Source organism: Homo sapiens, chromosome X, assembly GCF_000001405.40.
Source record: "Homo sapiens chromosome X, GRCh38.p14 Primary Assembly".
NCBI classification, from domain to species: domain Eukaryota; kingdom Metazoa; phylum Chordata; class Mammalia; order Primates; family Hominidae; genus Homo; species Homo sapiens.
The window spans coordinates 111,412,291-111,429,214 of NC_000023.11; the positions used below are offsets into that span (position 1 = coordinate 111,412,291).

Sequence of the window (16,924 nt, forward strand, 5' to 3'; positions counted from 1 at the left end):
GCTTAGTGAATCCCCCCAACCTCCTATGATTAATTACATGCTTTTAAAAAAATTCACAGGCTGCATTAACAGCTAGAAAGGTTTCATTTATAACCAACAGGAAATTGCGGGGTAGCAAAAAGATTGCGCAGACAAAATCAGAATGCTCTAATGAGCAATGTGCTAGCCCTTTCTTTTAGAAAATTGGCAATTTCACTTGGCCAAAACCTTGGCCTAATCTGCCTGGGGGCCAGACTCAGACAGCCAAGCCAGGCTTCTTAGAAATTGTAGCTCTCTTCCTTTTACCCTCTTGAGAGAAAAAAAATAAAATAAAATCTGCAGATTCTTTAAGGCAGTTTAGCTCAAGTATCCAACAACTGGTTTTTTGTTTTTTAATGAAGTCAACAAAGTAGACTAAGAGGAAGTAGGATAGGAACAAAACAAGGGAAAATAATTTTAGAATATTATGGAAGATAGAAGTAAAAAGGACATCCCAAATCTATCAGCTTGGTGTAAGAATTTGGTTAATGAAAGGTTAATGTGGCATTTACCTTTGAGAGTTTGGAAGTTCAAACCCAACCCAAAGACCTTTCTATGTGAAGTAAATCTGATGGCTACAAAATAAATATTAACAGATTTCTCCTCAAACTGCTTATTTGTCACTAACTGACTTCTTTATATAAAATATGTTACAAAAAAAACTCAAGGAAGCATCCAAATTGAACTAATTAGATCAGGCCGAACTATAAAACAAAAGAGAAAGGTGAGAGGTTAAATGGGGTAGGGGGATGCTACCATCTTCACAATTGAAGCTACATGCATCAATATGTAGCAGCCTTGAACTATCATGGTTCTATTTTTGCTTGGCTTCCAGGAAGCTCAGAGCTAAGAGCATGCTCAGTAATTATTTTATATCTGATTCCTAGTATAATTAACCCTTCCTTTTATATAGTGCTGTTGAACTTTTATATTTAAGCATTTTCTCTGCATGTGTTTTATTGTAAGCTGCCACCAAGTGGGATAAAATATATGATGGTCTTTCTTCTGTGAAAGGTGTTGACTCAGCAAAGCCTGGAACTGTCTGTTAGTTGAGTGGATAGCCTCAAATGTGCAACCTACCTAGTTAAGTCCCCCCAACACCTTGCTGCTGATTTCTTGGTTACTATACAAGTACCTCAGGGGAATGCATGTGTCTGCCCTGTTTTCTTCCATGTGTTGTTGCCTTACCTTGTGGCAACCTCATGAAAAATCAACATTATTCAGGCTAGAGGCAAAGAAAAATCAAGGAATAAGGGCAGGAAAATATGGAAATTCCAACAAAGCTAATGTCTTAAAACTTCTTTCTTGCACATCATAAGCATTCAGTAAATATGTAGCAATTAATTTTGCATCAGAACTAAAAATCATTTTATTTCTGGTGAAGATACAACAATGGATGGGATAATAAAACTTAAACACGAACCATTTGGAATGTATTTCAGAGGAAAATTCCTCATAATATAGGCTTTGCAATGCTACTGTGGAAGCTACAAAATGTTTTTATGAGACAGCCTAGGATAAATGACTTTGTTTGCTTTATATATAATAGAGAGCAGAGGGATAGGCAGGATCAATATTTCCTTGTTTGAGATATGTGGGCATTAATAGGTGTTCCTTAAAAACAGGAAAAAAAATTCTGTGGTCAAAAATGTCTGAAAAGTGTTGCGCTAAACGAAGATAATTTTGCTTATCATAAAACTTGTCAGGGCCTTTAATATAAACTATAAAATGTGTCTCAAAAAGAAAACAATTTGGTATACAGGGCTTCCACTTATTTTTAAAGCTCAGAACCTTTTGGTCGCCCCAGAACATGGACTAATGTTCTGCAGGGATAAAAAACTTTTGCAAAAACTGGACTAGATCATCTCCAAAGATATTTCTTCTCAAAGAACTCTCAGCTACTTACCAAGACCTTCTTTCTCACTTCTTCAGAGGAAACAGGCCATTGGCAAAGAGAAGGTCTCAGATGTGAGTCCAGGGAAAAAGTAAATCTTTAAATATGGAAATCAACTTTGAAGGTCAAGGGAAAGTCACGGTTGAGGGAGTGAAGTGATTTAAGAAAAAGAATAGCAACTCTATGTTGGAAATGTAGCAATACGACCTTTTGATTACTTACCATGTGCCCTGTACCACAGGCAAGACAGTGTAGGAAACATCCATCACTGCCCCTGAGGGGCTTGACGACTCATTGAGGAAAGGAGATAGCACAGGACTATGCATCTTGCAAAAATCATGAAGAAGGGATTAGATCTTTCTTGATATACTGCAGTCTGGGTTAATCAAACTCAGCTTAAAGAGCAGGGTCAAGAAATTTCTCATCCATCTCTCTCTCTCTCTCTCTCTCTCTCTCTCTCTCCCTCTCTTTTACTCTCTCTCTCTCTCTCTCTCTCACACACACACACACACACACACACACACACACACACACACAAAATACCAAAAAAATTATTAGTTTATGTTACCAATCAGAAGCACAAAGAGTAGGATCCTGTGTGGGACAGAGTAAGCAAACAGGAAACGAGGTTGGACTTTCCCTTGACCTTCAAAGTTGACTTCCATATTTAAAGATGTACTTTTCCCCTGGACTCACATCTCATATCACAAGATTGCTTATGCATAGGGCCTTTATTGAGAAAATCATAAAACTATTGAAAAACATAACAGAAGCTGTTAATAAATGTAAAGTCAGACCAGGCTCATGGATAACAAGATGCAATGCTGTAAGGTATCAATCCTCCCCAAAGTAATCTATACATATGAAGAAATTCCAATAAAAGCCCCAACACGAATTTTTGTGAAACTCAAAAAATTACTTCAAAATTTTTGTGGAAGAATATAAAACTCTAAGAGTAGCCAAGATCATTGTAAAAAAGAGAAATCAGAAGCCAATAACTGCCCTACAAAAATTTGTTATAAAGCTATAGTAATGAAGATAGTGTGGTGTTGGCCTGGAGGACAGACAAAGATTAATTAAACAAAACAGAGATCAGCATAAACAGGAACTTGCTATATCATAAGATAATGGGAAAAGCATGGACTCTGGAGCCAGACTGCCTAGGTTCAAATTTTGATTCTACTAATTATTAGCTAGGGACCTTGGGTGAGGTACTTAACCCTCTGTGCTTCACTTCACCCATCTGTCACACGAAGGTGATGATAATAATAGTAGCATTCTCAGTTGTTATGAGGATTAAATGAGCAAATATATGTATAGTGTTTAGAACAGACCCTGGCACATAGTATGTATAAGTATTAACTTTTATTATCCCCCGAATATTCATATGCCAACTCCCTCACTTCTTTCAAGTCTTCACCCAAAGGTTGACTTCTCAACAAGACCAACCTAGACTACCTGATTTAAAGTTACAAACTTCCCTCTCAACCTAGCAGTTCAAAATTTTTTTACTCTCTTTATTTTTCCATAACATTTATCACCTCCAACATACTACGTAATATACTTATTAATTACATATTTCCTGAAGGTATAATATAAGCTTCAACAGGGTAGGAATATTCTAACAGCTTTAATGATATATATAATTTACATTACCAATAGGACTACTTTTGTCTATATTTTTAATATTGCATAATTAACTTTCTAGAACAATACCTAACACACAATAGGTTTGGATATTTGTTGAATTGCATAAAGTAAGGAACACATAGAGTATTCAATAGATAGTATTAAGTCAATTAACTTTCATATAAAAAAAATCAAATTAGATACTCCCCTTATACTATACATAAAAATAATCTCCAGATGTTTTAAAGACCTGAATAAAGAACAAAACTTTAAAATTATTGGAAGGAAGCATAAAAGGTTTCCTTTAAATCCTTACGGTAGAAAAGAATTTCTTAAGACACAGAAAGCAGAGATCTTATAAGAAAATATTGATAAATTGATTTCATAAACATTTACAGCTTCTAACGGCAAAAGACAGCATTTAAACATTAAAAAATAAATAATAGACTGAGAAAAAATATTTGAAACTTAAATATCTGACAGAAAGTTAGTGTCCTGATATCTATATATGACACATAGATATTGATATAGTTTGTATTTTTGTCTCTGCCCAGTCTCATGTTGAATTGTAATCCCCAATGCTGGACCTGGTGGGAGGTATTTGGATTGTGGGGGTGGATCCCCCATGACTTGGTGCTGTCTTCCTGATAGTAAGGTCTCCTGAGATTTGGTCTTTTAAAAGTGTGTGGCACCTCCCCTCCAATGCACTCATGCATGAGTGTTCTTTCTCTCTCGCTCACTCTCGCTCTCTTGTTCTCTCGCTCTCTTGTTCTCTCGCTCTCTTGTTCTCTCGCTCTCTTGTTCTCTCGCTCTCTTGTTCTCTCGCTCTTGCTCCAGCTTTTGCCATGTGAAGTGCCTGCTCCCACTTCGCCTTTTGCCATGATGATAAGCTTCCTGAGGACTTCTCAGAAGCTAACGTTGGAGCTATGCTTCCTCTACAGCCTACAAAACCATAAGCTAATTAAACCTCTTTTCTTTATAAATTATCCAGTCTTGGGTATTTCTTTATAGAAATGCAAGAATGGCTGAATACAGCTATACATAAAAATATATATGTAAAGTTATATGTTATGTATATATATATATATATATATGTATGTATGTGTGTGTATGTGTATATGTGTGTATATATATATATATATATATATATATATATATAGCACTATGAGCAGTAGCCCAAACAATTTCATATGAAGTCATCCTAGCTATCATCCTCCTATCAGTCCTATTGATAAGTGGTTCACTGAACTCAGATCACGTAGGACTTTAATCGTTGAACAAACCCTTAATAGTGGTTATACCATTAGGATGTCCTGATCCAACATAGAGGATATGTTTACCTCACCAAATAAACACAGGTCTTAGAGCCTCATATGCAGTTACCAATCGAACATTTTCTCTACCCCAATATCCACAAAACAGAAAACAAGTTACTTTAATCTGTTTACCCTTACTATATATCCTAAGTATACCCTCTAACATCAGTACATGCTTATTGTCTTATTTCAGCAGTTTACCAGCTTTCTGGATCTCTAGCTTAATCTAGGCACCTTGATCATCACACCATCCCAATGAACATAATACTGATCGAACCTGCAGGGTTCATGTTATCTCTGACACTTGGGCTTTATGACCCAATAGATCCAGTGGTGCTCAAAAATATCTATAGCAGCTCAGGTTGTTATATAGAGATGGTGGCAAGTCCTAATAGGAGAATCATTTGTATAAGCCCCTCCCCACCCCTCAAAGGTTTTGAAGAAAAGCCTCTTATATTGTAAAGTCGCTCTTGATTTTCTTGTGTGTTCTAGGTAAGAATTTAATGCCTGACCATGGGAAACAGAATGACCCTGGAACCCAAGCTTCCCACCGTATGTGGGTTTTATTTGATCTGCCAGGACATAAAGCTGAACATGCACAACAGCATTTCCTCTTCAAATAGAACTGATATATAACATCAGGACTTCGTGTGTCCTAAAATTTTTTGAGAAAGTAGACATTTTATCTGTAGATGTCCTTGCCCAGCTACATCAGAGCTTGGTCAATATGGCTGATGAATAAAGCGTCCATGATGGTAAGGGTGGAAGATGCATATAGCTAAATAACATGAGGTTCCTCTTATCAAAAAACTAGTCTGGCTACAGCCACTGCTGAGTGCCCAATCTTCTTCTAGCAGAGACCACTGCTGAGCTGCTAATTTGGAACCATAACCCAGTATAACCATATGCCTACCTGGTAACAGTAAAATTACAACTATCATTTGGGAGACAGATGTTTGCCCTCAATGGAATAGACAACTATTTTTTATACATGCTCACATTGGCTATCCACAAGGCTTCTGCCATATCACCATCCATGGATTTACTGAATGTCTTATCATCACAGCATCTTTGCAACATTTGTTCTAATTAAATAATTCATTTGTCAGCCAAAAAAGTGAGATAGTAGCCTCATATTCATGGGTTTCACAGATCTTACCATGGATGCCGTCTCTCAGAAGCAGCTAGCCTTATTGAATGGTGCATTACCTAACACTGAATCAGTTTATGGCCTTAACTGGGAGGCTACACATTGTGAAGTTGAAGTACTGTTCTATGGATATAGTTGTGCTCTGAACTAGCTACCAATATTTCTCTTAAAGCCAGGCTATCAAAGAATGGAAATAGAGATGGTATCAATTATTATTACACCTAATGACCCGCTCACAAAAAAAAGTTGCTTCTCTCCCTGCAACTTTGGACTTGGTGTGGTTATGGTTTTTAATTCCAAATGGAATGGTATCTCCACCACTTGAAAGTTAGAGCAATCCAATACCGGCAAACTATCAAAGGCTCAGTTTTTCTTGAAATAAAAACTGGGATGATGCTACAGGGTAAATAAACAAACAAACAAAAAACCCAGACAGACAAGCAAAACAAAAACAAAAATCCCTAGTGAATATGGAATATGTAATGGAAAAAGAAAGTTATAAATGCCACCACAACCATATGAACAAATTAACTCCAAATGAGTCAAAGACTTAAATGTAAGAACTAAAAACTAAAACTCTTAGAAGAAAACAGGGTTATAAATCTTTGTAACTGACCTTGGATTAGCCAATGGTATTTTTAGATATAACACCTAAAGCACAAACAACTAAAGAAAATATGAATTAGATTTTATCAAAATTTAAAGCTTTTGAGCATCAAAGGACACCATGAATAAAAGAAAAAGGCAACATACATAATAGAAGAAAATATTGGCAAATTATATATTTAATAAAGGACTTCTATCCAGAATGGATAAAGAGCTCTTTCAACTAAACAATAAAATGACAAACAACCCAATTTGAAAACGGGCAAAGGATTTGAATAGATATTTCTCTAAAGATGACATACAGGTGGCCATTAAGCACATGAAAAGATGCTCAATTCCATTAACCATCAGGGTAATGCAAATCAAAACCATAGTGAGACATTATTTCACAGCTACTAGGATAACTAATTTAAAAAAATACAGACAATAACAAGCATTGACGGAGATGTGCAGAAATTGAACCCTCATTACTGGTGAGAATATAAATTAACACAGCCACTTTGGAAAATGGTTTGGCAGTTTCTCAAAAGATTAAACACAGAGTTACAACATAACTCAGCAATTCTACATTTAATTCTGCATAATCAAGAGAAACACAAACACCTGTCCACATAAAAACTTGTAATTTTAAATGTTCATAGCAGCGTTACGCATAATAGCCAAAAAAGTAGAAACAACTGTCCATCAACTTATGAACAGATAAGCAAATTATGATATATCCATACAATGGAATATTACTTAGCCATAAAAAGGAATAAACTACTGATACATACTACGACATGGATGAGCCTTGAAAACATTATGCTAAGTGAAGGAAGCCATGCACAAAAGGCCGCACATTATATGACTCTATTTATATGAAATGTCTAAAACAGGCAAATCTATAGAGACAAAAAGTACATTAGTGGTTGTCTTGGACTGGCGGTAGGGAGAAAGGAGTGACCGCTAATGGGTATGGGTTTTTCGGGGGTTGTTGAAATGTTCTGCAATTATATAGTAGTTAGTGATGGCTGCACAACCTTATAAATATACTCAAACTCATTAAATTGTGCATTTTAAAGGAGCGAATTGTATGGTGTGTGAATTGTATCCCAATAGAAAAACTATTTATAAAAATTTATACATAAACGTTTGGAGCAACTCTGTTCATAATCTGCAAAAAAATAAAAACAGCCTAATATCCTTCAACAGCTCAAATAAACAGATAAACACTCTGAGCTACATCCATACAATAGACTACTACTCAGCAATAACATCAATGAACTACTGGTAATCACAACAACTTGGATAACTCTCAAATTCTTATGCTAAGTAAAAGATGTCAGTCTCAATAGACTGCATAGTGTAGGATTCCATTAATATGGCATTCTAGAAAGACCAACAATAGGGACAAACAACACAGCAGTGTGTGCCAGGGGTTAGGTGTGGAGGGAAGGTGTGACTACAAAAGGATAGCACAAGGGAGATTTGAGGGGTGACAAAAGTGTATTTGATTCCAATTGTGGTTCATACAAATTCTAATTGTGTTGTTAACACAAATCTGTACATATGTTAACGTTCATACAACTATACACCAAAAAGTCAATTTTATTGTATGTTAATTTAAAAATGAAATGTTTAAATATGGCAAATTTTTATGATTGCGTAAAACTCGGTGGTAGGCATATGGGTGGTCCATCTAGTTTTCTCTGTACATTTTTTAACTTTTTATTTTTAAATAATTCTAGATTTACAAAAAGTGGGAAAATAGTACAGAAGCCCGTGCACCTTTCACTCAATTTCCCCCAACGGTTGCAAATTAGAAAACTGTAGTACGATATCAAAATCAGGAATTCGATATTGGCAAAATATATATAATTCTATGTCATTTTATTTTGTGTATATATTAAGTGCAGCTGCCACCACAATCAAAATATAGAACTGTACCATCACCACAAGGCTTGCTATTGCTACCTCTTGTTAGTCACACCCAATACTCCATCCCTTCATCATTCCTAACCCCTGGACACCACTAATCTGTTTTCCAGCTCTGTAACTTTATCATTTTGAGAAAGCTATGTAAATGAAATCATACAACATGTAACCTCTTGAGATTAGCTTTTTTTCACTCACCATAATGTTCTTGAGACAACTGCTAGTTGTTACATGTATCATAAATGTATACCTTTTTATTGTTGAATAGTATTTCACGGTAAGGATATACCACTGTTTGTTTACACATTCACCTATTGAGGGACAATTTGGTTGTTTTCAGTTTTGGGCTACTACAAATAAAGCTATGTGAACAATCGTATACAAGTTTTTGCGCAACCATAAGTTTTCACTTCTCTGGAAATGAAAAGCCTAAGATTGCAATTACTGGGGTCATACGGTAATTGCAATATATAGTTTTATGAGAAACTGCCAAACTGTTTTCCAGAGTGGCTGTGAGATTTTACATTCCCACCAGCAGTGTATGAGAGATTCAGTTTCTCTGCATCCTCACTAGCATCATCTGTCATGTTTTTTTTCTTTAGCCATTCTACTAGACGTGCAGTAATATCTTGTTGTGATTTAAGTTTGCATTTTTCTAATGTCTAATGATGTTGAACATATTTTCTTTGGTGAAATGACTCTGCCCCTTTTACCCATTTTCTGGTGCAGGGGCCATGCTAATCTTGTCTGTATCGTTCCAATTTTAGTATATGTGCTGCCGAAGCAAGCAGACTTTTTACCCATTTTCCAATGAGATTGTTTATTTTTTCTGATTTTGAGTTTTGAGAATTCACTATATGTTCTTCATATGATTCCTTTGTCAGATACATTGTTTGCAAACATGTTCTCTCAGTCTATAGCCTATTTTTTCATCCTCTTCACGTGGTCTTTCACAGAGCAGAAGCTGTTAATTTATTCATTTTTTCCTTTATGGATTGTGGTTTTGTTGTCATGACTAAGAACCCCTCATGAAGTCTAGGTCCTAAAGTTTTCTCTTATATTATATTCTAAAATTTTTATAAATGTATGTTTTACCTAATTCCTATGATCCATTTTGAGTTAATTTTTGTATAATGTGTGAGGTTTAGGTTATGGTTCATATTTTTTGTCTATAATTTTTGTTCATGTGTCATTTTTTGTTCATATTTTTTGTTCTTTTTTGTTCACATGTCATTTTTTGTTCATATTTTTTGTTCCTATGTCTTGCTCTAGCGCCATTTGTTGGAAAAAATATCTTCCATTGAGTTGCTTTTGCACCTTTGTCAAAAATCAGTTTGATATATTGGTGTGAGTCTATTTCTGAGTTCTCTATTCTATTCCATAGGTTTATGTATCTATGCCTCCTTCAATATCGAAGTCTTGATTACTGTCGCTACATAATAATTCTTGAAATTGGGTATACTGATTCCTCCCATTTTATTCTTATTCTTAAGAATTGTGTTGGCTATTCTAGGTCTTTTGACTTTCCATATAAATTTTATAATAATCTTGCCTATATCTATAAAAAATCTTGCTGGGATTTTTGATAGAAATTGTGTTAAACCAATATACCAATTTGGGGAGAATTGACTGTATTGAATCTTCTAATCCATATACAATATATGCCTCATCATTCATTTAGGTTTGATTTCTTTTCTTAGTATTTTGTAATTTTTAGCATACATGTCCTATACATGTTCTGTTAGACTTTCACTTAAATATCTCATTTTTACAAGATTGTATATTGGATTGTATTTTAAATTTTTCATTCCTCATGTTCACTATTAGTATCTAAAAATGTAATTGATTTGTGTATGTTGATCTTGTATCTTCCCACCCTGCTGAATTCACTTATTAGTTTCAGGAGTTTTTTGTCATTACCTTGGGATTTTCTATATGGATCATCATATCATCTTTAAATAGAGATAGCTTTAGTTTTCCCCTTCTAATCTCAATGCCTTTTATTTCTGTTTCTTGCCTCATTGCACTGGCTAAAACTCTAGTGCTATATTGAGTAGCAGTGGTGAGAATGGACTTCCGTAACTTCTTTCTAATCTTAGCTAGAAAGCATTCAATCTTTACCATTAAGTATGATGTTAGCTGTAAAGGGCTCTTTTGTAGATGTTCTGTATCAAATTGAGCAAGTTCCCTTCTATTTATAGGGTTTTCTGAGGAATTTTTTAAAAATTATGAATGGGCATTGAATTTTGTCAAACACTTTCTCTGTATCCATTGATATAATCATATGATTTTCTTCTTTATTCTGTTAATATGGTTTATTACATAGATTAATTTTCAAATATGTAACATTTTTAATGTCTGATATATTTCTTCATAGTTTTTTTCTTAACTTGAAGCAAATATGAAATAAGGTACTTTTCTGTACTTCTTCAAAATAATTTAAAAATTACACAGACTTGTAAAAACAGTGTAGGCAATTAATTACTCAGAAAAATGTGTGGCAGAAGGACATACAGCTTAGTAGTCAAAAAGAGAAACAATTTATAAAGTGTAGCTCAGTAGTATTTAACCCAGGCTTCACAATAGAATCAGGTGAGATGCTTTTACAAAATACTTTTAACTATGATTTCATTGATCTGGTGTGGTCTCAAGCATTGCTATTTTTCAAAGCTACCCTGGTGATTCTAAAGTACAGCCAATGTTGAGAACCACTGGCATTGTGGAATGAACTTAACAATGTGGACTTTAGACTCAGATGTAAAGTACCTAGTAGTAGGTATGATACATATAAAGGATATATTTATCAGACTCAGAATATAGAAGAATCTCGTACAACTTACGGGAAATATTCACAGAAAGCGAAACCACATCTGTTTTCATCCTCTTCTTCCTGCTGGTTAAAATGTGAATGACATAATTTGTGCCCAAGCAGCCATCTTGTACCAGGAAGTGGAAGCCAGGTATTGAGAATGGCAGAGCAACAAGATAAACTGGAACCTGGTGATTACAAAACAACCATATCAGCCCTGGAGAACTTCCTTACAAATGTTATTTAAGGCATAGAAAAATAAGCTTATACATTTCTTGAGCCCCTATTGTTTATAGTTTTTTCACTGGCTCTCTTATACCTAATACAAAAGAAAAAATGTTAAATATAGTCATGCTTTACATCACTGTTGGTGGGCCAAAAACTGGGAAGAATCTGAAGGACAGGAAGTAGATAGGCTCTGATTGAACAAGGAACCATAGCACAAGGCACATATGGGAGAGTATTCTGATAGATGGTGAAATTATCCCAAGAGTTCTCCAGACCAAGAGGTGAAACCTAGAACCAAGCAGTGGTCTTAGAGGTAGCCACTTTGTATCACAGGAAGAAAAGCCAAAAAACTCAGGCTCTTTTTATCCCTCTACTCACCACATGGACCAGCAAGCAGTAACAGAGGAATCTGTCTTCAAGTGAAAGCAGTAAGTACAGGAGCTTAAGGCTGTGAGACAGGGTAGTGCCTTGGTGATGATGATGGGCAATGGCTAAGAAAATAACAGTATTCATGAGAAATAGCAAAGCACATATAGTCATCAAGGTACCCTTCCTTATGGCATGTTCTCCATCTCACTCACTCTCACTGAAAATAGTACCTCTGTCTGTTTCCCCTATTATCTGAAATAAGTTGCATAACCAGAGGAAGCAGACAGTCTAATACGATATCTCAACTACAAAGAGAAGCATATAATAAGAGACTTGCCAAACATTTAGACAAAGAAAATTCTATGAAATATAGACAATAAGCTCAACAAATTAAAAGACTTCCACTAGAGAAATAGTCCTAAGAACACGAATATACAATGGTAATAAACTCAAAATGATAAGAAAAGATATCACATCCATGAAAGATCAAGCAATTATGAAAACAATAATAGGCAAATATGAAAACTTGAGACTTTTAAATGTAAATAATAGATCAAATTAGAGGCATGAAGGACCAATCAAGACATTTTCACATTTTTCTAAAAGAGTTCCATTGAGTAAAATTGGAGAAAATGAATGGGGAGCAATATTTGAAGAACAGCCAAAAAGTAAAACCTCTTCAGAGACAAAAATCATTAATCCACAGATTGAAAGGACCCTCTGATTGCCAAGCAGGATGACTTATGAAAACAAGAAAAGTAATTTTTTTAAAAAAGACTTAAAATTAAAGACACCACAGTGAAATTTTAGAGCATCAAGTATAACATGAAAATACTAAAAGCATTCAGAGAGAAAATAAAGACCACCTACAATGGAACAAGAATCTGTTTGACATCAGATTTTCCATTATCAAAATCACATGCAGGAAAGCAATGGAGCAATATCTTCAAACTGTTGAGTTAAAATAATGCTGAAACTTGAATTTAATACTGAGCCAAACTATTATATGAGTAGGAGGGAGAAATTAAGACATTTTGGATACATAAGAACCCAGAAAACTTACCACCCACAGAAACCCTCAGAAAGAATTGTTAGAGAATATACTTCAGCAAGAAGAAAAATAATTTGTGGAAAGTAGTTATGTTAAGGGAATAATGCTTAATAATTTATGTATTAGTTATATAATTAAGAACTAATTTTTAAAATGAGATATAACCTATCTACCATCTGGGAGAAAATTTTGCAAGTGTAAGAACAGTGAAGTGTGTTACCCATAAATTTTACTTAAACCAAGAAAAACATAACATTTTTATTTTGCCTCAACAAAGGGGATATGAATGCTTATGTAGCTTTTCCAGCCATTTAGAAGAGCATGAGGGGTGTCTGTGGTCACTGGCCTAAGTTAATTCCCAGGAAACAACTTCCAGAAAGTACCTGCTCATCTATAGCTAGTCCCAGGGATCATCTCTGGTCTAAAATATCCTTGTATGAAGCAAAGTGGAAGTGGTTCATAAACTGAAAGAAAGCAGAAAACTGATCCACACAATAGTGTACTCAAGAGATTTCATTCTACCAAATAGTTTCTGAGCTTCTCCTATGTGCCAGACTCTGTGCAAGGGGGAATAGAGAAATGAGAAGACAAATAAAGAAGAAGTGGCAGATCCTGCTCTTTGAAGAGATGGCCTTTCTGCTTCAGTCTTTCAGAAAAAAGGAAGAATTTTTAATGAAGCTATTACATCAAGAATAGCAGTAAGAGACAGACCCAAACTACCCGTGTTTTAGGAATCTCAGCGTGGTACAGACCATGGGAAGATTTCGCACCTTGAAAACCTGAAAGCAGGGAAACCATCTAGAAGCTAATGAAATAATTACAGGCACTTAGTGAAAGTAGCCTTATAGAAGTTGAGAGGGATAAACATCAGAAATTTGAGTAAGATTTCTGTAATCAAATCCTAGATATTCCATCTTTTATTGCATATTTAAAATATAGTTCTTCCTGATGAAACCATGTGGTGTGGTGGAAAAAGTGTAGACTTTAACTGTATGACCCCAAGAAAATTACTTAGCCTCACTGAGCTTCAGTTTACTCAGCTATATAATGTGGATAAGAATAGGGTCAAATCTGTAGGCAATTTGTAAGAATTAGATGAAATAATAAGTATAAAGTTCTCGGCCCATAGTTGGTGATATTTAATAATAGGCATGATTTATAGACCTGTACTTAAAAATTACCCTACAGACACGTTATTGAATTTTTGTGTGTATGTCACCTATTCCAGTTACTATGGTTGCATAACTAACTGCTCCAAAGCTTAGAAACATGAAGCAATCATTCATTATTATCATGGATTCTGTGGGTTAGAAATTTGAACAAGATGGCAGGCACGGTGGCTCACACCTGTAATCTCAGCACTTTTGGGAGGCCAAGGCAGGCGGATCACGAGGTCAGGAGTTCGAGACCAGCCTGACCAACGTGGTGAAACCTCATCTCTACTAAAAATACAAAAATTAGCCGGGTGTGGTGGAGCACGCCTGTAATCCCAGCTACTCGGGAGGCTGAGGCAGAAGAATCGCCTGAACCAGGGAGGCTGAGGTTACAGTGAGCTGAGATCACACCACTGCACTCCAGCCTGGGCGACACAGCAAGACTCCGTCTCAAAAAAAAAAAAAAAAAAGAAAAGAAAGAAATTTTGACAAGACACAGTGAAAATAACTTGTCTTTGCTCTATAATGTCTGGGCCTCAGCTGGAATACTCGCAGGCCAGGGACTGGAATCATCTCTAGGCTAGTCCACTCACATGTCTGGCAGTTGATGCTGGCTGTCAGCTGGGGGCCTCGGTTGCCTTCCATAACCGAGCATCTCTATTTGATTTCTCTACTTGAGCTAATTTGGTTTGTCTCACATTATGATGGCTGGTGTTGGAGAGAAAAACCTTTTCCCTACCCTCTAATTTCAGTGTTTTGGGGCCTGAAAATTAAACTGACAACACACAGATCAGCAAGAGAAAATAACAAATTTAATTACATCCACATGGGGGTTCACAAAGAAATGTGACTCAAGGAGGTTAGAATTGGAGGCTTTTATAGCATCTTAATAAAGGATGGGGAGGAGCAGAGGGGCATTTCTGGGAGAATAAATGACTTCTTAGAAGGAGAAAGGGCATTTATTGAAAAACATTTAAATGATTTTTTAGAAAGATAAATGAGCCCTTAGGAGAATAGGTGAGAGATATCATAGCTTTGTGATGTTTAGGTGTGGTGCTTGGGTGTGGTGCTCACTTCTCATCTCTGAGAAAAGAATATTACCTCTCCTTTCCAAATTTGAGAACTTCATCATTCTTCAGTTGACAAACTCATAAATGTCATACTTACTAATATGAAATTATTTTCACCTCATAGAAAGGTATATGATATAACATCACAGGCTCTTAGTCCTGCATTGAAAATTCACTCATTTGAACAGAGACAATTTAGTATAAGGATTAAGTTCATGAGTTTTGGAGTCCAACAGACCTTGATTTGATTTCCTGACTCAGCCATTTATGACCTATGTATTTAGATCAGACAGGATGAATTTAGTTGCCAGGGACAGAAAGGACAACTAAGAGGGGCTTAAACAATAAGCCTGTAAGTAAGGCGATTCCAAGATTTTTAATTCAGTGGCTCTTCAGGGATCCACTGCTTTTCACATATCCCTTCCCTCTTCCCCAGTTTGTCAGCAGTGCCTGCTCACATGAGCTACAAAAATAACACATGTTCTAGACATTATGTGTAGAACCAACCATTTTAAACAAAAGAGAGGACATTTCTTCCAACAAATGTGTTTTTATTCTCCATGAAAATATTTCCTAGAAGCCACTCAGCAGACTTCCTTTCAGGTCATTAGCCAGGATTTCTTCCATTTCCATGCCTTAGCCAATTATTGGCAAAAGGAATGAGACCACTGATTGGGTAAAATTGATCATGATTCACTTCCTTAGGATGGGAGAAAACTCAGTCTCTCCAGAAAATTATGGCTGATGAGAGGAAGGTAAAAAAAAAATGGGGTTCTGTTAGTGAGAAATAAGTGAAAGAAACCAACAAAGTTTGCCCCAATACTTAACATATCTGAGCCACATGGTGGGGAGCCCCATGATATGGTTTTTTTCACAAGGAAGTGTTATGATCGTTAAATAAGATGACAACTCTCGTAAAGTGCTCAATAAATGTCAGCTATTAATGTCATGATTGATTATGTTATTTTGGCTTTTAATTTGGTAGCTGGTCCTTTCCATATTTCTCTTCTGTCCTCCACAACTTGATATCAGTGCCTTCTTTCATGGTCAGAAGATGGCTACAACAATTCTACGCATCACATGAAGATAATATTTTTGATCCTCAGTTTCCCTATCTGTAAAATGGAGATATTCATATTTACCTCAAAGATTTGTTGTGAGGATTAAATGAGATCATTCATGTAAGAGCTCAATAAAGTTAGCTATTATTGTTGCTGTTATTGACATCAATACCCTCTGGCAAGTGCACAACATGATGCCAAGCTTAAATCAAGTGCTGAACAAATAGTGCTGTTGTTGTAAATAAACATTTCTTTGTCCAGTCTGTGCAAGAAAGGGCCGAGAAACCTTCATGACCTTGGGCTAAGCAAAATACCTTACACATATCAAAAGCCCATATAACAAAAATAGATACCTTGGACTTGATCACAATGAGAAATTTTTGTGCCTCAAATGATACTATGAAGAAAATGAAAAGATAATCCACAGAATGGAGGAAAAGATGGGCAAATCATATCGCTGATGAAAGGCTTGTATCCAGAAAATATAAAGAACTCTTGAAACTGAAAAATTTTAAAAAAAATTTAAAAATAAGCAAATAACCTAAATAAATAGTTCTCCAAATAAGATATAGGAATGGCCAATAAGCACCTGAAAAGATGATTAACATCATTAGTCTTTAGGGAAATTCAAGTGAAAGCCAAAATGAGATACTAC

At 35.5% G+C, this 16,924-nt stretch overlaps 1 pseudogene; it reads right to left on the minus strand.

The window, feature by feature from the left end:
* On the minus strand, positions 9,248-9,317 carry RNU6-496P (RNA, U6 small nuclear 496, pseudogene; annotated as a pseudogene).